The following is a 26,700-nucleotide window of genomic DNA, read 5'->3' as shown; positions in this document are numbered from 1 at the left end:
GTATAGCCTGTATTATTAGGTACTACGTATGTACTCCTTGCTTCCTTCCTTAAAAATATTTTCACTAAATAATATATACAAAATAATTTCCAGGTTAAGTTTTCTGTTTGGTCACTACATCTCAATACTTGATATGTCTTTTGCATCTACACATTCCCGATACTTATACAAATTGATTCTCAATGGCTCAGCTGCCAACTACATTCACCCACTGGGTTGTTGAACATCTCTTAGATACAGCACTGTGCTCCACCCAAACACATGTCTGTACACTCGCTCTGGAGCTGCTGCATACATGTCATTTACCTGGGCTCACTCACCCTCCTTCGTATGATTTTTTTTCAGGAACACACATTTGGAAGAAACTACAAACAAACCAGACTCAAATATTGTCATAGGCTGTCAGTGCCTGTAACTGTTGGAAAAGCGCTCTCTTTCCTTTCTGTCTTCTTGCTTTCTACTGTGGAACTATTAGAACCAATTTCCCATAAATTCTGGGAAATGAGGAAGTGGGAATATATAGGCCTTGTGACTTAGTAATACATTTTTCTCTGTACACAGATGGGAAATAGTTAAAAAACAGCAGAGCTCAGAGAGGTTTCAAAGGTCATTCTATGAGCAAAAACAGAAGTATGTTAGGCTCAATTCTGTTCCCTGACTTAACTGACTAGCTTATAGTTTTGATTTAGTATTATTTCAGGATAAATATAATCTCAGAACCAAGAATGACCTTTTGAGCTGAATATTTTTTAAAAACCTGTTATATATTAGTCTTTTCTTTTTAGTGATGATTTCACTATTGTTTTCACTTTGAGATACTTTGCAACAGAATACCAAAAGTATCTCAAAATGCTTCTAAGTTTTGATTTCATATTTATTCTGCTAATTCTTCAATGTTATACTTAATAGCCAAAAACAAAATTTACTACTGAGATAGTTACATTTATCCCTTTCCTAAATAGTAATATTTCTATTACTTGATTTTGTTTTCAATTTCTTGACATAAAAACAGCAATAGGGCAGGCATGGTGGCTCACACATGCAATCCTCACACTTTGGGAGGCCAAGGCAGGAGGATCACTTGAAGCAGGGAGTTCAAGCCCAGCCTAGGCAACATACTGGGAAAGGAGGAAGTGGGAATAGCACCTGGTGGGTGGCACAGGCCTACAGTCCCAACTACTCAGAAGGCTGAGGAGGGACAATCCCTTGACCTCAGGAGTTCAAGACTACAGTGAGCTATGATTGCGCCACTGCACCTCAGCCTGGACAATGGAGCAAGGACTCTGTCTCTTAAAAAAAACAAAACAAAACAAAACAAAAACACAACAAAGCAGCAATAGTATTAAATGTGAGTATTTCAAATTTATATATATTTCAAATTCACACAAAATCATTATAAGCACTGACTTTAGAATGAATATGGCCAATATGGCTCTAGTCCAACACGTTTTTAACCTACAGTCAAATTAATAACTTTCACTGTTAGAAAATACATGAAATGAAATGAAAAACTTAACGTAATTTTCTTCTTGTTCTTTCTTAAAATATTAACTAACACTGTTTCTCATATGCCTCTGTAAAAAATTATCAGAAGTTTCAACTAAATTTTTACACTGTTGAAATAGATACTTGCTTTCATAAACTTTAGATAGTTTCTTTTGGAGGGGGAGAAAATGGGGGACACATGTAACTAAATTCATGTAATAAAGGTAATTATTTTATTTAATAAAAGGATTTAATTTGTTTTAAGTTTACCCTTTTATTTTAATTTAAAGTTTACTCTTTTATTTTAATTTAAAGAAATATCATAGTCCAAAGGTATGAGATCAGGTTTGGAGCATTAAGTCCTTATTTATATTAAGCTGTACATAATCTGGGACTTCTGCATAATTTATTTGCTTGCAATCTTTGAAGACACTCACATAATAAAATCAGAATATCTTCAATAAGTTCATTGGTTGGAAATTTTACTGTTGACTTACTTTAGAGTTGACAAAATTGTGAGTAATTCATGTAATTACATTATTCCAGCAAAATATTCTAAAATAGTTGGATGCAATTCTGAAACATAATCACACTCACACTCAACTAATGCAGTAGACATTTTCTTTGTGTGCATATGTGTTTATAAATACAAATAAATGTATTATATATAGATGGCATAGTCTTGAAGCAAAACTGTAAACTAGGCCAAATTAGTCTTCAGTTCTCCTAGCGTTAATATTCGACCTTTCCCATGTCTTTCAGTAGCTGAGTTCATCTTTTCCTCCCCCTCTTCTGAATTAAACTCAGAAAGATGTCTAATAAATTCATTCACATTAATGTACAAATGACTGATTGCAGATGAAAGTAGAGGTTTTTGCATTTTAAAAGATATAAAGACCTTCAGCTAAAATGTTATTTTTCAAACTGTGTTCCATTGAGTTATAACTGCAATTCCTCTGCAGTTCTGTAATAAATGTAAAAAAAAAAAATTCATTGCCAGATTTGCGGACAATAAAAAAACTATAATAAAAATATATTTGTCATATTAACAGTTCTCAAATCATTAACTTGTGTTACCAGACAAAAACAACTTCTCCTCCTTCTCTTCCTCCTCTTTTTTCTTTCTATATAGGTAGATGCATATATAGATAGTTATACATACCCACATACACGCGCGCGCACACACACACACACACACACACACACACACACATATGTATATACATATAAAGAAATAAATAACTGTGGCATTGACTGGAAAGTCTATAGATCTGCAATGGACATTTAAAAATATGTCTTTGCATATCTCATGAGAAATATTGTGCAAATGGGCCACAATATTGTGCAAATACCACCACAGTGCATGGGAACCACATGCAATTAAAAGGCCAGCAAATTCAGGTACTTTTGCATGGCACAAGCACCAAACAACATATGGCAATCAGTGGACATGAAAACAAAGTGATGATACCTAAATGAAAATGCAGACCACCATAAGATGTATTTTTCCTCATAAAGAAATTGTATCAGTTAATTAACTCCCCCAAATATTAATAATAATTTTGTACTGGCTTATATATCAAGCACACTTTTATCAGAGAAGATTTTAAACATGCTCACAACTGCGTGTAAGCAGCCAGCAATGAAATTGGAGCTTTTCAGGTATGTACACAGAATAAAATATATTTGACTAATTGAAGCTTTGCAATTCAATTCAATTCAATGATACAGCAAGTATCATTATGTCATGAATTTGTTTTGTTGAAAGTGAAAAATTCTGTTAAAAAGACACTTTTGAAAGGTATTTTTTAACCAAGAGTGAGGACCTCTCAAGGAATATGAACCATTTTAGTTACTCTAATTGATTTAGCTTTGAAGATCCAAGTCTATTCCAGTTTTTGGTAGTGGAGACAGAATGGTTCAACATGGCTGAGAAGCAACACATTCATACTATTTGATTATATATATATGTCTGTATCAGGATATTGCCAATACCACAAAACCAAAACAAAATGCAGAAATCTATGAAAAATAAGATACTATCGCATTGCAATTGTCTTCCTCAAAATAGATCCATTATTCTCACAGATTGATTTTTTTTTTTTTTTTTTTTTTAAGACGGAGTCTCACTCTGTTGCCCAGGCTGGATTGCAGTGGTGGGATCTCGGCTCACTGCAAGCTCCACCTCCCGGGTTCACGCCATTCTCCTGCCTCAGCCTCCAGAGTAGCTGGGACTGCAGGCACCCGCCACCATGTCCGGCTAATTTTGTTTTTGTATTTTTAGTAGAGGGGTATTTCACCGTGTTAGCCAGGATGGTCTCTATCTCCTGACCGCATCATTCACCATCCTCGGCCTCCCAAAGTGCTGAGATTACAGGTGTGAGCCACTGCCCCCGGCCTCTCACTGATTGATTGTGTTGAGAGTGTTAGCAATTAGAACTTCTAAAATGGATTTGCACAAATAAAATTTCAATTTTCTCTTTTACTTACTGGTTTATAAAATGTTGCTTTGTTTAAAATGAAGTTGTTGACTGCTTTAAAAAGTTTGATAACCACTGAGCGAAAGTAATTATATTCAAATTATGGAGTTTCAAACATTTGCCAGAAGCTAAGGGAGCAGCTGGACTTTCTGCTTGAAACCTCATTAATAGGTGACTGTCTACCCTGCATATGGATACAACTGTCCAGGTACCCATCATGCAAAAGTTTATTTAAAAACTAATTAACATATTATATTGTCCAGACAGTTTTCAGTGATTTCATTCACATTTAACAATGATACTCTTTTCTTCGGGCAGAATTTCCCAAAACCCAGCAAGGACTCCACTGATGGAAAATGAGATGGGTTAGTGGGTACATGGATGAATGTTTTAAAAGTTTAATGGTTTTATATTTACTATTACAGTTGTCTTCTCTTTGTGGTAAGAAATGCTGAATTTTTTACTATCATTTATAATGTTAATCAAAATTTTCTTTTAAAAATTAATTCAAGTAAAAATAGAGTAAAACATCCTACCTAAGTGATAATTTAGAAGATACTTAGATGTTGCCAAAATTGTGAAGGTGAAGCCAGAAAGACTAAAGTTTAGAAAACTACACTCAGCTGCTGCAGTTTTCACCACCTTGATAGTGTTTGCATAGCCCCATGTGGAAATACTTAAGCTTAATCACTCCTACACATTCCACGAAGGCGGCATAGTGTTCGTGGTTCTTGGTGCAGGCACCAGATTCCAGCTGGCTCAAACCCCAACTCTGCTGCTTATCTGGACAACTTTGGGCAAGTAACTTCATGTCCTTGTACTTTAATCTCCTTATCTCTAAAATGGGCACAAAGAATGGCGCCTTCCTCATATGGTGACTGTGAGAATGAGAAAAGCCCAGATTAGAAGCTTAGAATAGGGGCCAGTACGTAGCAAATGCCTAGTTAATGCTAGCTACTATCTTTCATGGAAAAATTCAGGCCAAAAAAACAAAAAACAAACAAACAAACTCAGATAAGTAGCCCCATGTGGAAATACTTTACTGTAAACATTGTTTTTATTCTTCATCATCTTGGATAAAATTTACTATGTATTATTTCCCCCAGAATAAGCTTTTCCATATACTTTGCACCAAACATATCCTCATCTCACCCTATTTGATCTCTCTATGCACTGTTGGGAGAGACTGTGTATCTGATTGGCTGTCAAGGAGTATCTCTACTCAAGTGACTTTATTACTATTAATTTTTTAACTCCCAGAAATTATGAAGAAAAGCAAAACAAAGCAATACAAACCAAATTGATCAAAGAGAATAAATGAGCTGACGTCTGTGAAAGCTTGGCAAAACTTAAATTTCTTTTGCCTCTGAAGATAAATATGATTTCTAGCTCCCATGTCTTCATCTTTAAAGATGAGTTTTGGAAGAGCTCACTGGTGGTGAGTGCTGGAAGAAGTAAGATTAATCTATGTGTGCTTTACATTATATTTCCCAGATAATTGTACACTTTGTATACCTTGTAAAAGTTATTCTTATTTGAAGGTTGATGGCAATGGACATTTGTCATCCACTATTATGAATTTTTCTAGACATTTCTATGGGTTATTTAGGGTAATTTAGAAAGCAGTGTTTTAAGTTGTCTAAATATAAATGCAATATTCATTTTAGAACTGTAGATGATGTATTTGGCGTTCAAACACCGGCAAGCAGAAGAATTTCCAAGCATTTAATTTCAGTGATTAAATCAATTAAATTTGGAAACAAGAAAAGGATTTCATGCAGCATTATTACACCTGGTTGTTAAAACTGTTGAAAAATAGTATGGCGTTTGAGATGTTGCATTTCACAAAAATATATGCATACACTAATACCATGATATTTTCATTGGTTGAAAATAGATAGATCCAAACATTTGCTATCTAGTAACCTTTAAGTAGATGTCTCCCAACTATGTTTTTAAACTGCCTCCTTTGAAATTTTTTAGCAATGGTAATGCAAATAATAGCATATGCTTAATAAGACTAAATATCAAAATTGCTGTTAAATTTAAGATTACATCATATACCTGGGTATCTTAATGTGATGGCACTAAGATTTTTTTTAAGTTATAATTTTGAAGTTTGTAAAAAGTAATAAAAAGTTAGAGAATATAAGGCATATTTCTAAAATGTAAAAATAAAAAAATTTTCAATATATAAGACCAGGTACTCTTATCCTTTGTTTGGCTATCCTATAAAAGCACATGCATTATCGAGAAGCATTAATGAAATTTCTATTTGTCATAGTACTGTAGAAACTGCAGACACTGGTAGCTCCTAGAAATTTAAAAAGCACAAACTAGAAATATGAATAATATTTTGGAGGAACTGAGCCACTAGATGACAATATTTAGAATATTCTCATATGTCTTCTGAAGGTATACAAATTACCTTTTCATGACCATCATTATTGCCACCTTTCCCCTTGTTCAACAGTAAAATTTAAAAAATCTGGTGTGCAGTATAATTTTAAAAACAAAATCTGACAAGAAGTATAATGCTATAACTTTTTATGGTAGAATTGGTAAGACTGCAAAGCCATTTTAAATTGAATATAACAGGTAAGTAATCATTTAAACAGAAAAGTGGTATTTTCTAATATATAAATGAAATCATCACCATTGATCATCAATTTGTTCATTCCTGAAAAGAAATTGAAATTAGGAAAATGGGCAAAATCCAAAAAGGTACACAGGGATGGCAGAATAATGAGCAACTCTCTATCACCTAATGAATGTAGGGAAACAAGAAAAATGAGTTTTTAGTACCAGTCGCATTTTGAAAAATATATGGTTTATTGATCAATTTAATAGTTGCAAGGGAAAAAGGAAATGAATGTGTTTACTCAGGATTTTTAATTAAGGCTCAGATTGTTAATCTTATATGACTTCTGAGGAAGAATACATTGTTTATTTTCAAAATTCTACATGCTATTCTAAAACCCTTCTATATTTCTAGCTATTGATTTTTGCAATTGCAGAGAAGATTAGAAAATACAAATGCTTTAATGGGTATGTTCTGTAGACCTTGATATCTGATATCAGTGGTAAAATTATCATCTTATTTGTTTCTGTGGCACAGTTGTCCAGTCCTCTGTCTATTGAAAATAGTGGCAGATCACCTACCTAGAGTAAAGCTGCATCTTAACTTTAAGTCAATTTAACGTACCCAGTGGTAGACATATAAAACAGATTTCCAAACTAAATAAATATTGCCTGATAATATAACGCTCAAGTGATTAAATAACACATGTAGAGTATACCTTCTAATAGTAGACACATAAAGTTTCCAGATATGAGGCTATCCATACAAATTTCCTAAATATAAAGCCTGATAGCGATCTTGCCCTTTGAGGGTAATGATTTGAAGCTAAGGTGGTAGATAGCTCCCCAGGAAATTACAATAATTTCTTTCTATCATCAGGATATCTGACAATCAGTTGGGGAGGATTTTAAAAAATTATAAGCATGAAAGAACTATTAAAAAGACATGAAATCAGCTACAGAAAGTATGAAACAGAAGTCACAGTTACTTATTTATTGATATTAAAAACCATTTTCCTTGTTCCTCCAGATAGAGAATAATAACTGAGAAAAACTACAACCTAATTGAGAATAAAACTTCAATTGTACCATTTCGTGAAATGATATCTCACTAGCAATTTAAAGTTATACCAGAAGAGATATCAGACTTTTATTTTACCTTCTTTATTTATATTTTGTTTTCTAATAACTTTAATGGATGTGATATAATGGCCACACTCTAGCACTTGATTCTGCTTGCACACTTTTTCTAAGAAGGGTGCTAGGAGGGTCCAGTGAACTGCAAAGGAACTTGTTTCTTGAAAAATCAGATCTCATCATCTACTTGTATTTGAGCTGTATGAATTTGAATTAAACAAAGCAACTAGCCATTGGAGTTCCATTGCCATGAGTTTAGTTTCCATGAATATACTCTTTTATTATATAGAGCTAATTATCATGTGAATAGTAGCTCCTTGGAAGTGTGCGGCCACTCTGTTTTGTGGAAATACATAGAATCTCATGTAGTTCATGAGTCCCACCACACTGAGAGTAATCATTCTCCTGGCTTAATGAAAATAGTTCTATTGTTCTTCTTTTAATAAATTCGAGTTTGTCAACTCAGGTTATTATTTTAATGTCTGCTTTCGGCAAGGTTTGTTAGCTGTTGTACAGTATCAGATATTAATCAGATTAAGTATTGAGGTCTGAATATTATAAGGTGACAGACATTTGCAGTAAGATTACAAATCTACATGGATAAACATGACTAATTTAAAAGAGCCCTGGGGAGCATTTTTTAGAAAGTTCAAATACCTGCTGAATGCTGCACTGTTATTTTAATTATCCCATAATATGGCACAAAATAACAATCTCATTTCATCCTTTTATTTACAAAGCTGTTCCCATTATCATTATATTTTACCTGCTCAAGCTCTGAAAGATTGCTCCTCGTTGAGAGATTCATTAAAAGAGAATAATTATATTATATTTCACAGATTGGCAGAAAGAAAATGTATCTTTGAACAATTCCATTTCCCTGAGCAGCTGTTCATTTCAGAGTTGAAGACAGGTCTATTACGTACTTTCTACCCTTTTTAAACATGTCAAAGCTAACTATTAATACTGAAATTAGTAATTTGGCTCTGGTTTAATAAAAAATCAGCTGCTATTTGTAAAACTGAATTTCTGTGAATAAAACACAAACATAACAATATTTTCAAAAATATTGAATAACGAAGAACATTAAATAATTTTATTTTACCGAATATATAAATGTATGTCTCTTCGGATAATTAAAGCCCTTAGCACACTGACTTGTTTTCCTACTAATGCTTCTTAACCCAAAAAGCTACATAAAACATATTTTCTTACTAAGTCTATGATATTCAAATTTTCAGAGTATCCTGTTAGAAGAATAGTAAGAGATGGAAAGTCAACTAGTATCATAGAACATTCCATTTTTAGATTTACTGAAAGAAAGTTTCATGGAATTTGTGATAAAACGTCTTTTCAAAATTAAAAAGTCATGTGCACAAAAATGTGACTTCCATATAAAATAGGTTTGAGAAGTCATTTCATATTTTAACATGTTTTTGCCATGAAATAAGCTAACCATGGTCTCTTGCAAGGAACTGAAAATGCTACTTATACATTTCTCTAGTAAGTAATTGAGCAAAAATGAAATAATGTATTAATCAGTGATGGCTTTACAAAAATTTTTATACTTGGTGATAAATACTTTTTTGCCCAAATGTCCTCGGTATTGTTGTCTTTTTTTCACAACCTCACTCTGGCCAGCTCACCACGAGTGCAGTATCAGAATGTCTAGTGAGTCTAGTGGGAAGCAAGGAGTCAATGCATCTTTTACTCAGTCTAAAAGTAGGAAAATGCTCTTTTGATTTTAAAAAGACAGTAATTGTATCAAATTTAACAATTTAAAATGTGTGTAGGATTTGAGGAGCTCTCAGAGATATGCAATGAAGTAATCTGTGTGTCTCATTTTAAAAGTATGTTAACTAAAATATACTGACATATTAACAGTGCTATTTTGAGTTAGATATTTTATACATTTGTGCAGTTAGATATTATTTTCAATTATTTGTTAATATATTTTCTGTTTATTTTTAAATTACTGGAAACAGTTTCTTCCAAAGGTTTTTAATAAATTCTTTATTGTAATTGTTTTGTTAAGACAAACTATTTTAAATTTCTGTTTGCTTTTTTTTGTTTCTCATTTCTGCTGTTTGTCTTCTGAATATTTTATATATGTTATCTTTGTAAACATTACTTTTCATCCAAATGTTCATTTAAAAGTCAGCAATCAAAAAGGAACTATAACAGGTGTTTTCATTCTTGAGGAATGAAATGAATGTGCTGTTTATGGTAGATACTGAAATTTAACTTCCGTTGCAATTCAAGAGCCATTCTGTTATCCAAAACATTTAAAATAATCAAAAATGAAATAAATGAATTACTATAGGTATAAAAGTTGAATTAAACTAAAAAACACAACTGACATTTGAAACCCCTGTGGTAGACTTTAGTACACATGAGTATTTACTAGTGAGTACTCAGATATGTCTTGTGTATATGTGTTGTAATAGAGAGTGTATGTGTGTGTGCATGTGTGTGTTTGCATGTGTACTTAATTGGTTAATGGGGACAGGCTAATAATGGACATGTAGATATCAAAATGAAGCCTGGAATAAAAACATACTTGAACACAAATTATTTTGAAAGCCCTAATCAGAAAATCAGGGAACCAAAGTATTACTTCAAGAGGAAGGCGGGTTCAGGGGTGTTTTTGTTTTGCAGAGGAAGCTGATAGGAAACAACAAAACAAGGTTCTCTAAGAAACAAATCATTATGCCATTCCCGCAAAGGAAAGGAGGTTGAAAATGTATAGACAGGAGAAGGGAATTCCTTCTTCTCTGTCTTAATTTTCTTTCCTTCCACTACATATTATCTCTTGAGAATAATGTTTTCTTCAGATTTCATTACAAGTCCTCCTCCAGGTGAGAATGTCCATTCTATGGTGATTCCTGCCACAGTAGTTGAACAACCCACTCTCTTGGTTGACCTTGTAGCACCGCTCCACCTGACTCATGCACCAGAACACAGTAGCTTGGGTGGGAAGACATTAGTTCTAATACTGTACTGACTTTTCTTTCATTTTTTTGGTTTTCAATCTTCCCAAAGGTGCATGATAAAAATGAGTTATCATATTCCATGGGCAAGGAAAAAAAAAGAGCAAATTAGTATCATACCAATTGGTTTATTAGAATTCTCAACTTACCCAGGCTGCTTTCCTTCAGCTTTCTTTTCCACTTAGCAGCTGCTAATAGGGGAGACTTTTGACATAGACATTGAAGGCTACTGAGTTTCTTACACACAGGTTTTAGTTTTTAGTTTCCTAGACTATAAGCACATGAATACAATAAGTTGTATGGTTAAAAAAAAAAAAAAAAGAAATCTGTGACCTAATTATCTTTGCCAGGTCTGTCTCATAACCTATATAAGTAGACATAAACATTTCTGACTTTTCTACCTCCTTGTGTGATTTTTACAGCTCAATACATTTTAAACAATGATTAAATAGAAATGTAAGATTGTATTATTTTTCTATAAAATTTAAAATATGCACAAAGCTACCCATCTAGAATATTTGAAGCACATCCAAACATATAGCCCACATTTACCACAGAGGTGAAGGGGCCATTTTCTAACCGTGGACCAGTAGCCCTTCTAGAAATGAGTCCTGGCCCCACAGAAGAATAAAAATAAATGTGATCCATATTTTAGTTTATGGAAATTTTTAATTTTTGTAAAAAAACCATATTATGATTAAAGTAGTAGAGTCCTCATGACTGGACATCTTTAAACCTGTTCTAATGAAGAATTAGGTTCTGATTGCTTTTCTGGTCCAGCTTTGATTGATGATGTTTTTTAATCATCCTTTCTGAAGAAAGGGGCAATTCCTATTAGAATATTTATCCCAACGAAAGTTGACTAGAGTACAGTTCACTCTTTTCAGGTATTGGGATGATTAGAATGCCTTCTTTATGCAGGTAATTTCTTGCTGTCTTGTCTACTCATTTGTTGCTTTCTTCTTCATGGTGAATCGTGGAATATCGTATTTTCTTGCTGCTTTCCCTTCAGTTGCACATCTACCATCGCTCACTTTCTTAAGATTGTGTTGGCCAACAGCACTGATTCCCTCGGAACCATATAACCAAATCACCATGATGACCCCCCACTGATCTAGCAACAGAGACCACATCACCTCAGCAACCAGTTCACGTTGTACCTGCTGCTCTTAAATTTCTGATTTCCTTCTAGAGGTGCAATGCATTTCTGGTGATGCACAGAGCTGTTTATAAGAGCACTCTCTAAGTGGCTGTAAGGGAAAGTACAGGCTGACTAAGAAATTAATGACATTGTGAGGTGCTGCCTGCTGGGGTGAAAATAAATACTAAGAGAAGACAGAGAACAGGTAATGGGCCCTACCTATGCTGCAAAACTCTTTTCAAACAGATGCTGACTGTGTGCCAATAGATGTGGCAGTAACTGTCAACAAGATTTATGGCACTTTAACGTAGACTCAATACGAGAAGAAAGGTTGAAAGAGTTCTATGATTTTGTTTAAAGTTTAGTGTCTCCTGCTTCTGCAGCAACTCTTTCTAGGCAGAAGCGTCCATTGTCTCATTGCAGGACACTTGCAACTCTCAGGGAAACTGTGAGGTCTCAGGACTTTGAATATGTATCTTGTTCTCGCGTGTGTTATTGTTTTATTCTTGGTGGTGATTGCTGATGCTGCTATTTTTAAATTAAAAAGGAAAACATCACAGGGTTAAAATGTAGTATGTCTAGGTTCTTATAAAATGTAGAAAGTATAATTATTGTTTTTTTGCCACCTGGTAATGAGCTTCCATCACCGCAAATGACATTGCTCATTCTTCATGGACAATCCTAGGTAATTATATCTTTAAGAGAAATAAGTCCTTGAAAGAATGATTTTCTATTGTTCGGTTTCCATTGCTGCTGGTGTCGGGTCTTAAATCTGACATTCTTTCTTTTTTTTTTTTTTTTGAGACAGAGTCTCACTCTGTCACCCAGGCTGGAGTGCGGTGGTGCAATCTTGGCTCAGTACAAACTCTGCCTCCTGGGGTCAAGCAATTCTCCTGCCTCAGCCTCCCAAGTAGCCAGGATTATAGGCGCATGCCACCATGCCTAGCTAATTTTTGTATTTTTAGTAGAGACAATTTCACCATGTTGGCCAGACTGGTCTTAAACTCCTGACCTCAAGTGATCTGTCGGCCTTGACCTCCCAAAGTGCTGGGATTACAGGCATGAGCCACTGTGCCCGCCAAAACTTTCATATGCATATATAAAATTTGCGTATAGCTCTTTTCCCATAAATGATCAGTAAATGAAGAGATTATGCTTTTATCAACATATTTTTCCCTCAACTTAACTAATGTCTTGATTAACTGCTGGTTTCTGTCTTTTTCCTTCATTAGGAATTGTGTAGGATGGACAAAACATTTTCTCTAGACTTTGAAAATTTAGTGAAATGGAATTCAGTTCTTGAACTAAGTAAAGTGATTACCCTGGTATTAAATCTGTTGTTTTCTAAGGCTAATAGACAGGTTTTTTGAAAACCATTTTACAATGTTTCATGTATATTTAATGGACAGATAACAAGAAATAATCATGCCAAGACCAGAAATGTGAATCTTCATATAAGTCATTCACTCAATAGTTTAATATGTGTCAGCCAATCTAATTTATGACAACTCTTCTCACTCTACTCAAGCCCAAGTAGGCTTTCGGATACTCATCAAACACATCAAGCATGACATCATCTCAAAGCCTTTGCATTGATATTCTCTCTGCCTGGAATATTCTTATCTCAGATCTTAATATGACTTTCCATGGCTTCGCATGGCTTCTCACTTGCTTCTTTCAGGTCACTGAAAACAGGTCATTGTTAAAATATGCTCTCTTAAGAGAAGCTTTCTCTGATTCCCTGTCTAAAATATCACCCCATCTCCTCCGATTCCCTACTCCCTCTCTATGTGTTATCCTTTTAATGAAACTGAACGCTGTCATAAACTACAACATATGTGCAGAAAAGTGTACATGTCTTATATGTACCGTCAATGAATTTTGATAGTCAATACACCTATGTAACCACTCTCTCTGATCAATAAATAGAACACGGCCAACACCACAGAAACCCCTAGTTCACTTGCCCTACTCAATATGCTGACCTTTTTCACCATGAATAAATGTTTCTGGTTTTTATATTTTATAGTAGAATTATATGGCATATATTGATTTGCATCTGGCCTTTTAAATTCCATATTTTCATTATTTTATAGTATTAATTTTATGAGTACGCAGCTTTTTCCAGTGGGAAGCTATTACTAATTGTACTTCTATGAACATTATCATTGAAGATTATATATTTTTCTGGGTATAAATTGAGTAATAAAAATTGCTGGGTCATAAGGTATGTGCATGTTCAGCTATAGTAGACGCTACTAAAAGTGATTGTACTGATTTGCGCTATGATCAGCAGTGCACAAGGGCTATCACTGCTCTACATCTTCTCCAACACTTTGAATGATGAGTCTTTTTAATTTAGGCATCCTAATTTATTGTTCTGTAAATATGCATTTTAATGATGACTAATGATGTGAAACATCATTTTATGTGACCAGATCATTTGGACATTTTCTTTTGTGAAATATCTGCCCAAGTCTTTTGCCTATTTTTTAACTGGTATTATATATAATTTATATTTGAAGGAACTAGAATCTTTTGTTCTCTATGGGTTGCAAATATATTCTTTCACTGTGTGCCTTGCCTATAGTTTACAAAGTCTTAAACATCAGAATGTCTTAATTTTATTAAAGTCCAATGTATCCATTTATTACTTTTTTCTTATTGCTTTTTATCTGTAGTTTTTAAAAATAATTTTGAACATCTGCTATATTATTTTTGAGAAGCTTTATTGGCTTAACTTTAACATTAAGATGGAATTGATTTTTGTGCATGGTTTAAATTTAGATCAAGAATAATTTCTTTTTTCATATCATTATCCAACTGACCCAGCAGTATTTATTGAAAAGACTCCTACACCCACTACTCAGTGGTAACATAATCTTAATCCCAAGTTTCTGTTTATGAGTTTATTTATTTCTGAACACTGTATTCCACAGTAGGGGTCAGAAGGCTTTTTCTGTAGTGTCAGATAGTAGATATTTTAAGCTTTGGGTCATATACTCTCTGTCATACCTACTCATCCCTGCCACTGTACCACAGAAACAGCCAAAAACAATACCTAAATAAATGGGCATGGCTCTGCTCCAACAAAAACAGGCAGCAGGCCAGATCTGGCACAAAGCCACAGTTTGCTGACACCTGTTCTACCCTATGGGTCGATTCATCAGTCCTTACGCCAGTACTACAGTTTCCTAATTAATGTTTTGTTAATCAGTTTGTTAATGTCTCCCCTCTAAAATAAATAAATAAATAAATACCACAGGGATTTTGAATAAAATTACATTGATCAGTTTAGGGACAATTGGCATTTTTACAGTCTGAGTCTTCTAAATGGTGAACATGGTATAGCTTTCCATTTTTTTCATTTTAGTTTCTTATAATGGTTTATAACTTTCTATGTAGCTGTCTTATGCCTAGATATTTGGTGTTTAACAGTGCTATTCTAAAAAATATATTTTCTAACTTTTACTCTCTAATTGTTTTTGTTGTACCAAAATACACAGCTTTCTAAAATCACTTATCAATTCTAATACTGTATCTATAGACTGTTGGACTTTAAATAAATATCATGCCATCAATAAATGATGATGGTTCATTCCTTCTTTTTTTACCCTTAATCCTTTTCTTTTTTTTTTTTTTTTCTTATTTCTCTGTTTAAAGTCTCCAGTGCAAGGCTGAATACATGGGGTGAAAATGGACGTTGGTGTCTTGTTCTTGATATTGGAGGCTGTGGGGGAGATTTCAATAGTTCACCATTTCTCTAATGTTCCTTGTATACTTTTATGGATACACCTTTTCAGGTTAAAGATTTCTTCTTTATTTCAAATTTACTATGTTTTGTTATAAATACATGTTGATTTTTATAAAATTATTGTTTTTCATCTATTGAGAGAATCATACTTTTTATTCTTTATCCTGTGAATGTGGAGAATTACATTGCTTAATTTTTTTTCTGAGACAGGGTATCACTCTGTTGCCCAGGCTGAAGTGCAGTGATGTGATACTGGCTTACTGCAGCCTCTGCCTCCTGGGCTCAAGAGATTCTCCCACCTCAGCTTCCCAAGCGGCTGGGACCACTGGCATGTGCCATCATGTCTGGCTAAGTTTTGTATTTTTTGTAGGGACAGGGATTTGCCATGTTTTCCAGAATGGTCTCAAACTCCTGGGCTCAAGTCATCCGCCCGCCTCATCCTCCCAAAGTGCTGTGATTACTGGCATGAGCCACCTTTCCTGGCTGCTGAATTTTTAAATTTTAAAGCAACCGTGTATTCCTTAAATAAATCTAACTTGGAATGTTGTATTATCTTGTTATACAACACTGGATTTTATTTATTAATATTACATTTAAAATTTTGCATCTATGTTCATGAGAATGGTCATGAATTATTTTTCCTATCATGTCATCATTAGGTTTATTTAATAAGGTTATGCAAACAGAAAGGGCAAAGTTGGTAGGCAGTATGACCTGCACTTGTGAGTATGGCTCTAACTACTTTATCTAATAACAGAGGCTTATAGCTTTGTGTCAGATGCAGACCATAAAATGATTCTATTATAGGTCAATCTGAAATGCAAGCAGCCCTGTAACTTAAGTTATAGGACAGACCCTACAGGACTATATATATATATGTACCACATATATGTACTATATATATGTACTATATATGTACACATATATATATGTACTATATAGTACATATATGTACCGCATATGCGGTACATATATATATGTGGAAAAGATGCTTTGTGGAGTTGATGACACACTTCAATAAGAGAATCACAATGTAGTCTAAGGCTGTGGAGCAAGGCTATGGCATTGGCAGCAGAAAACTATATGTCAACTGAGAACAAGCTCTGGACGTGCTACTTGGACTCTATAAATATGGATCATCTGACCATAGCAAGTGACCATAATGAAATCACAGGGCCCACCATATGCTGAGTTTTGTTAGACCAACCAAGTCATAAGCTCAGAATTCATTGTAAGATAGAAGTAGATAGAACACCTGGATCAGACATGTAGGGCCAGAGAGCGAGGAAAGCTGCATGAGTGTCTGTTGTTCCCACCACTGCTGGACCCCCGCCTCCCCCTCAGCTCCCACCTATGACTCTTAGGACCAAATGTCAGAGAAGGAAAAGCTTTAATGAGAGTTCTTGAATAGTTTATCTTGCTTTGTTAGTGTGCTTCTAAAAAAGGGCTGCTATTCCAGCAGTGCTGCTTTTGGGGTAGTGGAAAGGAGAAATTCCCAATGAGCAGAGCTCTGGGAGCCTGCCCAGTTATCCTTTGTATAGAGAGTAGCCCAAGGTGAGAATACAAATGGACCTGTAGATCTTAACAAAGTGTTCCAAAGAAGATGCTTGTGGATGAACTTATAGGAATGGGGACAAGGTACCAACATTGCACTTTTTCTTAGTGCTGTAAGTATAAAATACAATACTTTATCTTTTATTTTGGAGAACATGTCCTGACATACTATAGACCACTGGATGCATAATACAAAGATGAATTGACTCTTTAGAGGATTTATCTTTCACACCCTGGCAAGTCATTATCTTATAAGATCTACAGCCTACATATCATTTATTGCTCATCTAGCCCAATTAGCCAAAGAGTACACTGGTTCTCAAACTTTTAGTCTCAGGATCCCTTCATACTCTTAAAAATTATTGAAAATCCTAAAGAACTTTTGCTTATGTGAGGTACATCTATTGTTACCATATAAAACATTAAGGCTGAGAAATTATTAAAATATGTATTCATTTAAAAGTCTTAATAAACCTATTACATGTTACTATAAATATATTTTTAAATAACTATATTTAAAAAACAAAAATTTAGTAAGAAGAGTGGCACTGTATTGCTTTTTATAAATCTCTGTAATGTCTGGTCTAATAGAAGACAGCTGGATTCTCATATCTGCTTCTACATTCCATTTATTGCAATATTTTTTTTTATTATTATACTTTAAGTTTTAGGGTACATGTGCACATTGTGCAGGTTAGTTACATACGTATACATGTGCCACGCTGGTGTGCTGCACCCACTAACTCGTCATCTAGCATTAGGTATATCTCCTAATGCTATCCCTCCCCCCTCCCCTCACCCCACAACAGTCCCCAGAGTGTGATGTTCCCCTTCCTGTGTCCATGTGATCTCATTGTTCAATTCCCACCTATGAGTGAGCATATGCAGTGTTTGGTTTTTTGTTCTTGCGACAGTTTACTGAGAATGATGGTTTCCAATTTCATCCAAGTCCCTACAAAGGACATGAACGCATCATTTTTTATGGCTGCATAGTATTCCATGGTGTATATGTGCCACATTTTCTTAATCCAGTCTATCATTGTGGGACATTTGGGTTGGTTCCAAGTCTTTGCTATTGTGAATAATGCCGCAATAAACATACGTGTGCATGTGCTTTATTAGCAGCATGATTTATAGTCCTTTGGGTATATACCCAGTAATGGGATGGCTGGGTCAAATGGTATTTCTAGTTCTAGATCCCTGAGGAATCGCCACACTGACTTCCACAATGGGTGAACTAGTTTACAGTCCCACCAACAGTGTAAAAGTGTTCCTATTTCTCCACATCCTCTCCAGCACCTGTTGTTTCCTGACTTTTTAATGATTGCCATTCTAACTGGTGTGAGATGGTATCTCATTGTGGTTTTGATTAGCATTTCTCTGATGGCCAGTGATGGTGAGCATTTTTTCATGTGTCTTTTGGCTGCATAAATGTCTTCTTTTGAGAAGTGTCTGTTGATGTCCTTCGCCCACTTTTCGATGGGGTTGTTTGTTTTTTTCTTGTAAATTTGTTTGAGTTCATTGTAAATTCTGGATATTAGCCCTTTGTCAGATGAGTAGGTTGCGAAAATTTTCTCCCATTCTATAGGTTGCCTGTTCACTCTGATGGTAGTTTCTTTTGCTGTGCAGAAGCTCTTTAGTTTAATTAGATCCCATTTGTCAATTTTGGCTTTTGTTGCCATTGCTTTTGGTGTTTTAGACATGAAGTCCTTGCCCATGCCTATGTCCTGAATGGTAATGCCTAGGTTTTCTTCTAGAGTTTTTATGGTTTTAGGTCTAACATTTAAGTCTTTAATCCATCTTGAATTGATTTTTGTATAAGGTGTAAGGAAGGGATCCAGTTTCAGCTTTCTACATATGGCTAGCCAGTTTTCCCAGCACCATTTATTAAATAGGGAATCCTTTCCCCATTGCTTGTTTTTCTCAGGTTTGTCAAAGATCAGATAGTTGTAGATATGCGGCATTATTTCTGAGGGCTCTGTTCTGTTCCATTGATCTATATCTCTGTTTTGGTACCAGTACCATGCTGTTTTGGTTACTGTAGCCTTGTAGTATAGTTTGAAGTCAGGTAGTGTGATGCCTCCAGCTTTGTTCTTTTGGCTTAGGATTGACTTGGCGATGCGGGCTCTTTTTTGGTTCCATATGAACTTTAAAGTAGTTTTTTCCAATTCTGTGAAGAAAGGCATTGGTAGCTTGATGGGGATGGCATTGAATCTGTAAATTACCTTGGGCAGTATGGCCATTTTCACAATATTGATTCTTCCTACCCATGAGCATGGAATGTTCTTCCATTTGTGTGTATCCTCTTTTATTTCCTTGAGCAGTGGTTTGTAGTTGTCCTTGAAGAGGTCCTTCACATCCCTTGTAAGTTGGATTCCTAGGTCTTTTATTCTCTTTGAAGCAATTGTGAATGGGAGTTCACTCATGATTTGGCTCTCTGTTTGTCTGTGGTTGGTGTATAGGAATGCTTGTGATTTTTGCACATTGATTTTGTATCCTGAGACTTTGCTGAAGTTGCTTATCAGCTTAAGGAGATTTTGGGCTGAGACAGTGGGGTTTTCTAGATATACAATCATGTCGTCTGCAAACGGGGACAATTTGACTTCCTCTTTTCCTAATTGAATACCCCTTATTTCCTTCTCCTGCCTAATTGCCCTGGCCAGAACTTCCAACACTATGTTGAATAGGAGTGGTGAGAGAGGGCATCCCTGTCTTGTGCCAGTTTTCAAAGGGAATGCTTCCAGTTTTTGCCCATTCAGTATGATATTGGCTGTGGGTTTGTCATAGATAGCTCTTATTATTTTGAAATATGTCCCATCAATACCTAATTTATTGAGAGTTTTTAGCATGAAGGGTTGTTGAATTTTGTCAAAGGCCTTTTCTGCATCTATTGAGATAATCATGTGGTTTTTGTCTTTGGCTCTGTTTATATGCTGGATTACATTTATTGATTTGCATATATTGAACCTGCCTTCCATCCCAGGGATGAAGCCCACTTGATCATGGTGGATAAGCTTTTTGATGTGCTGCTGGATTCGGTTTGCCAGTATTTTATTGAGGATTTTTGCATCAATGTTCATCAAGGATATTGGTCTAAAATTCTCTTTTTTGGTTGTGTCTCTGCCCGGCTTTGATATCAGAATGATGCTGGCCTCATCAAATGAGTTAGGGAGGATTCCCTCTTTTTCTATTGATTGGAATAGTTTCAGAAGGAATGGTACCAATTCCTCCTTGTACCTCTGGTAGAATTCGGCTGTGAATCCATCTGGTCCTGGACTCTTTTTGGTTGGTAAGCTATTGATTATTGCCACAATTTCAGATCCTGTTATTGGTCTATTCAGAGATTCAACTTCTTCCTGGTTTAGTCTTGGGAGAGTGTATGTGTCAAGGAATTTATCCATTTCTTCTAGATTTTCTAGTTTATTTGCGTAGAGGTGTTTGTAGTATTCTCTGATGGTAGTTTGTATTTCTGTGGGATCGGTGGTGATATCCCCTTTATCATTTTTTATTGCGTCTATTTGATTCTTCTCTCTTTTTTTCTTTATTAGTCTTGCTAGCGGTCTATCAATTTTGTTGATCCTTTCAAAAAACCAGCTCCTGGATTCATTAATTTTTTGAAGGGTTTTTTGTGTCTCTATTTCCTTCAGTTCTGCTCTGATTTTAGTTATTTCTTGCCTTCTGCTAGCTTTGGAATGTGTTTGCTCTTGCTTTTCTAGTTCTTTTAATTGTGATGTTAGGGTGTCAGTTTTGGATCTTTCCTGCTTTCTCTTGTGGGTATTTAGTGCTATAAATTTCCCTCTACACACTGCTTTGAATGCATCCCAGAGATTCTGGTATGTTGTGTCTTTGTTCTCGTTGGTTTCAAAGAACATCTTTATTTCTGCCTTCATTTCGTTATGTACCCAACAGTCATTCAGGAGCAGGTTGTTCAGTTTCCATGTAGTTGAGCGGTTTTGAGTGAAATTCTTAATCCTGAGTTCTAGTTTGATTGCACTGTGGTCTGAGAGACAGTTTGTTATAATTTCTGTTCTTTTACATTTGCTGAGGAGAGCTTTACTTCCAAGTATGTGGTCAATTTTGGAATAGGTGTGGTGTGGTGCTGAAAAAAATGTATATTCTGTTGATTTGGGGTGGAGACTTCTGTAGATGTCTATTAGGTCCGCTTGGTGCAGAGCTGAGTTCAATTCCTGGGTATCCTTGTTGACTTTCTGTCCCGTTGATCTGTCTAATGTTGACAGTGGGGTGTTAAAGTCTCCCATTATTAATGTGTGGGAGTCTAAGTCTCTTTGTAGGTCACTCAGGACTTGCTTTATGAATCTGGGTGCTCCTGTATTGGGTGCATATATATTTAGGATAGTTAGCTCTTCTTGTTGAATTGATCCCTTTACCATTATGTAATGGCCTTCTTTGTGTCTTTTGATCTTTGTTGGTTTCAAGTCTGTTTTATCAGAGACTAGGATTGCAACCCCTGCCTTTTTTTGTTTTCCATTTGCTTGGTAGATCTTCCTCCATCCTTTTATTTTGAGCCCATGTGTGTCTCTGCACGTGAGATGGGTTTCCTGAATACAGCACACTGATGGGTCTTGACTCTTTATCCAATTTGCCAGTCTGTGTCTTTTAATTGGAGCATTTAGTCCATTTACATTTAAAGTTAATAGTGTTATGTGTGAATTTGATGCTGTCATTATGATGTTAGCTGGTGATTTTGCTCGTTAGTTGATGCAGTTTCTTCCTAGTCTCGACGGTCTTTACATTTTGGCATGATTTTGCAGCGGCTGGTACCGGTTGTTCCTTTCCATGTTTAGCGCTTCCTTCAGGAGCTCTTTTAGGGCAGGCCTGGTGGTGACAAAATCTCTCAGCATTTGCTTGTCTGTAAAGTATTTTATTTCTCCTTCACTTTTGAAGCTTAGTTTGGCTGCATATGAAATTCTGGGTTGAAAATTCTTTTCTTTAAGAATGTTGAATATTGGCCCCCACTCTCTTCTGGCTTGTAGGGTTTCTGCCGAGAGATCCGCTGTTAGTCTGATGGGCTTCCCTTTGAGGGGAACCCGACCTTTCTCTCTGGCTGCCCTTAACATTTTTTCCTTCATTTCATCTTTGGTGAATCTGACAATTATGTGTCTTGGAGTTGCTCTTCTCGAGGAGTATCTTTGTGGCGTTCTCTGTATTTCCTGAATCTGAACGTTGGCCTGCCTTGCTAGATTGGGGAAATTCTCCTGGATAATATCCTGCAGAGTGTTTTCCAACTTGGTTCCATTCTCCCCATCACTTTCAGGTACACCAGTCAGACGTAGATTTGGTCTTTTCACATAGTCCCGTAGTTCTTGGAGGCTTTGCTCATTTCTTTTTATTCTTTTTTCTCTAAACTTTCCTTCTCCCTTCATTTCATTCATTTCATCTTCCATTGCTGATACCCTTTCTTCCAGTTGATCACATCGGCTCCTGAGCCTTCTGCATTCTTCACGTAGTTCTCGAGCCTTGGTTTTCAGCTCCATCAGCTCCTTTAAGCACTTCTCTGTATTGGTTATTCTAGTTATACATTCTTCTAAATTTTTTTCAAAGTTTTCAACTTCTTTGCCTTTGGTTTGAATGTCCTCCCGTAGCTCAGAGTAATTTGATCATCTGAAGCCTTCTTCTCTCAGCTCGTCAAAGTCATTCTCTGTCCAGCTTTGTTCCGTTGCTGGTGAGGAGCTGCGTTCCTTTGGAGGAGGAGAGGCGCTCTGATTTTTAGAGTTTCCAGTTTTTCTGTTCTGTTTTTTCCCCATCTTTGTGGTTTTATCTACTTTTGGTCTTTGATGATGGTGATGTACAGATGAGTTTTTGGTGTGGATGTCCTTTCTGTTTGTTAGTTTTCCTTCTAACAGACAGGACCCTCAGCTGCAGGTCTGTTGGAGTACCCTGCAGTGTGAGGTGTCAGTGTGCCCCTGCTGGAGGGTGCCTCGCAGTTAAACTGCTCGGGGGTCAGGGGTGAGGGACCCACTTGAGGAGGCAGTCTGCCCGTTCTCAGATCTCTGGCTGCGCACTGGGAGAACCACTGCTCTCTTCAAAGCTGTCAGACAGGGGCATTTAAGTCTGCAGAGGTTACTGCTGTCTTTTTGTTTGTCTGTGCCCTGCCCCCAGAGGTGGAGCCTACAGAGGCAGGCAGGCCTCCTTGAGCTGTGGTGGGCTCCACCCAGTTGGAGCTTCCAGGCTGCTTTGTTTACCTAAGCAAGCCTGGGCAATGGCGGGCGCCCCTCCCCCAGCCTCGCTGCCGCCTTGCAGTTTGATCTCAGACTGCTGTGCTAGCAATCAGCGAGACTCCGTGGGCGTAGGACCCTCCGAGCCAGGTGCGGATATAATCTCGTGGTGCGCTGTTTTTTAAGCCCGTCGGAAAAGCGCAGTATTCGGGTGGGAGTGACCCGATTTTCCCGATTTTCCAGGTGCCGTCCGTCACCCCTTTCTTTGATTAGGAAAGGGAACTCCCTGACCCCTTGCGCTTCCCGAGTGAGGCAATGCCTCGCCCTGCTTCGGCTCGCGCACTGTGCGCACACCCACTGACCTGCGCCCACTGTCTGGCGCTCCCTAGTGAGATGAACCCGGTACCTCAGATGGAATTGCAGAAATCACCCGTCTTCTGCGTCGCTCAGGCTGGGAGCTGTAGACCGGAGCTGTTCCTATTCGGCCATCTTGGCTCCTCCCCGCAATATGTTGTTTTAATTGAAGTCTATGAAGAAAATCAAGCCTCACACAGATATGTAGTTGGGAAAAAGAGTGATATGTTAATAATCTGTTCAAATACTTTTGGATATTATTCTTTGGCATTATATCAAAATTCAACAAGTAGTAGTTTCTTAAAGGTTACTTGCAATGTGAAATATAGAAACATCAATCAATTTTTTGTACTCTTTTGCATTAAAATCTACAGGTATGTCTTGAACTTTGAATGGATTTCTTAACTATGAGTGATTTTTAATACCATGAATTAATCATTTGAAAATAATATCAGTTCTGTTATGCAGGCTTTCAAATATTGACACAGATTATTATACAATATCAAAAATCATACTTGTTGATTTCAAGCTAAGACTAGTAAATACAAAAAGTTTCTAAATTCCTAATTTTCACTTGGAACATTGAATTTTATCATTGGGAACAAATACTGTCAGTTGTTTTCCATCAAACTGAAAAACTCCTTCCATTTTTAAGAAAATATCTGCCAACTACCCCAAGATACCCAAGTCTGAATAACCATAATTTTACCATCAGTACCTTTGAAGGTGTTCCATGAACAAAGTGGCTGATTTTGTTCTCAATCACACAAGTGTTTTTCTTTAAACAAGTATCACAGTTTGTTATGCAGCACAATTGCTTTATGCATATTCCCCATTTCACCACAAACAATACTAAAAAATTGTACTCAAGAGTAAATATTTAATAAAATTTTTACTGCTTCATCAAGGACATTTTAAAGCTTTGTTTAAAAACTGTAATTCATAGCAACGAACAAGGCATTAATAACAAGTATAGTTAGGTGCTACTTGTTTCATGCTAAAGATCCAGCAATTTTATACAACATTGTTTTGCTTCATCAGTGCAAATGTTAACACAATGCGTATAAAAATAATTTTGACCTCATTAATCTCTTGAAAGTGTTTCAGGGACCTTCAAGATTCAAAGACCACATTTGCAGAACTGCTGATATAATGGACCAGTGTGGCGTTCCACATACTGTGTCAATGTTTCAGGTCTCTATACTGCATTATAATAGGGGTCAAGAGAGTTAACAGAACTCAAGTTAAAACTCTATAAGTGTATTCTTTTTGTTCCATGTGGATCTAAACTGATTCTGATTTTTCTTTTTGAAATGGCTGGAAATAAATGCATTTTCATTTTGATGGCTTTATATCTCACACTGAAGGCTGTGTTAATCTGCTTCAGAAAAAAAAAATAACATAGCTGGTGCAGCAACAGCAATTGGTGTTACTGTCTGGATAAGTTTACAGTTATCCACTGTCATATACCATTATCTATCCATATTTTTATAGTTGCTAGACTAGTGTCATAAATAGGAATATTCCAGAGACCACCTCCCCCGCCTTCTTTAAGAAGAAAATGGCTTAACCCAAATGATTTACTATAGAAGTATTTTGATATTACACCAAAAATACGGAAACATTGTAAAAAATTGTTTCTGACAATATAAATGTTAGGAAAATCAATAAAGATTAAAAAAATGACCAGGCATGGAGGCTCATGACTTTAATTCTACAACTTTAGAAGGCCAAGGTGGGCACATCACTTGAGCCCGGGAGTTTGAAACCAGCCTGGGCAATGTGGCAAAACTCTGTCTCTACAAAAAACACAAAAGAAGTTCGCCAGGCATGGTGGCATGCACCGGTCATCCCAGCTATTCAGGAGACTGAGGTGGGAGGATCACCTGAGCCCAGGGAGGTGGAGGCTGCAGTGGGCCATGAACATGTCATTGTACTCCAACCTGGGAGACAGAGTGAAACCTTGTCTAAAAAAAAAAATGATGAAAAATGAATAAAGTTGTGGGTGAAGCGACAGTTGATGGCTGTTACATATAGAACAAAAAACCAGTGTGGGGGATCTGCCAACTACCAAGGATGTATAATCCAGTAATACCTTGGAAGATCTTGGAAAACACCATCTGGTTGGTCTGTGGACCCAGTGATTACACCGTGAGCCAAATGCCAGCCAAAACTCTACTTACTATCTGGCTCCCATATGCCTTCATTCTATTAGGAGTATGGAATCAGTTTGGATATCAAAGGATGAATTTCAGTATTTTTGTTTTGTTTCATTCTGTTTGGAGATAGGGTCTTGCTCTGTTCCCCAGGCTGGAGTGCAGTGGCGTGACCTTGGCTCATTGTAGCCTCAACCTCCTGGGCTTAAGTGATCCTCCCACCTTAACCTCCTAAGTAGCTGGAACTGCAGGCGCACACCACCACATCTGGCTAATTTTTGTATTTTTGTGGAGACGAGGTCTCACTGTGTTCCCCAGGCTAGTCTCAAACTCTTGGTCTCAAAGCATCCTCCCACCTTCCCCAAAGTGCTGGGATTACAGGCGTCAGCCACCGTACCTGGCCTAATTTGAGTTTGGATTCTGAATCAAGCAAACCTCAGAAGTTCTGGATGTTCCTCTTACCTAGTACATAGTCACTTGAGTAAAGAGTCTCAGGTCCTGTTGGAAAAGGACTGGGAAAATTACAACTTCATATGTTCCTGGTATTATTAGGTTCTTTCCCTGAAAGATCTGTTATCTACTTTATCAGTCATCTTCAATTAAAAGTCTGAGAATCAATGCAGGTCTAGAAACTGGGCAAAAGATAGAGAGTTGTGGAGGAAGAAGAAGGGTGCCTGGCCTTAACCTCCTGATTATCCATTCTTGATTGGTTTTGGTTGTATAAATTAATCAAAATCCTTGGTAGCTGTCCATCTGTCTTGCCTATAGGAACTCCATACTCTATTTATTATTCTACTGTTTTCTAAATTTTAGACTCCATGTTTGCCACTCCTGTCTTCCTTCTCATTGCGAAATCTACATCTATGTTTCTTCTGTCAATGAAATATCACCTC

General features: G+C 36.4%; 1 protein-coding gene across 22 annotated transcripts in view, besides 1 other annotated feature; it reads left to right on the top strand.

Annotated features, from left to right (window-relative positions):
* DGKB (diacylglycerol kinase beta) overlaps positions 1-26,700 on the top strand; it is an 829,810-nt gene that overhangs the window by 637,798 nt on the left and 165,312 nt on the right. Inside the window, exon 24 of one of the 22 annotated variants that reach the window (XM_017011790.2) lies at positions 346-1,222. The exons of the other annotated variants lie outside the window; for them this stretch is intronic. Within the exon in view, the coding sequence (XP_016867279.1) occupies positions 346-398 (53 nt within the window). The 3' untranslated portion in view covers positions 399-1,222. Of the gene's footprint in view, positions 1-345; positions 1,223-26,700 lie in introns of those variants that run through there. 22 annotated transcript variants of the gene reach the window in all.
* Positions 4,590-4,790: a silencer, noted in NCBI's record as "peak6405 fragment used in MPRA reporter construct". NCBI's record gives its function as "represses an SCP1 promoter by STARR-seq MPRAs in K562 erythroleukemia cells {active_cell/tissue: K562}" and the evidence as "EXISTENCE:reporter gene assay evidence [ECO:0000049][PMID:32103011]".

This window comes from Homo sapiens, chromosome 7 (genome assembly GCF_000001405.40).
Source record: "Homo sapiens chromosome 7, GRCh38.p14 Primary Assembly".
Lineage (NCBI taxonomy): Eukaryota > Metazoa > Chordata > Mammalia > Primates > Hominidae > Homo > Homo sapiens.
This window is presented reverse-complemented; position numbering and strand designations above follow the sequence as displayed.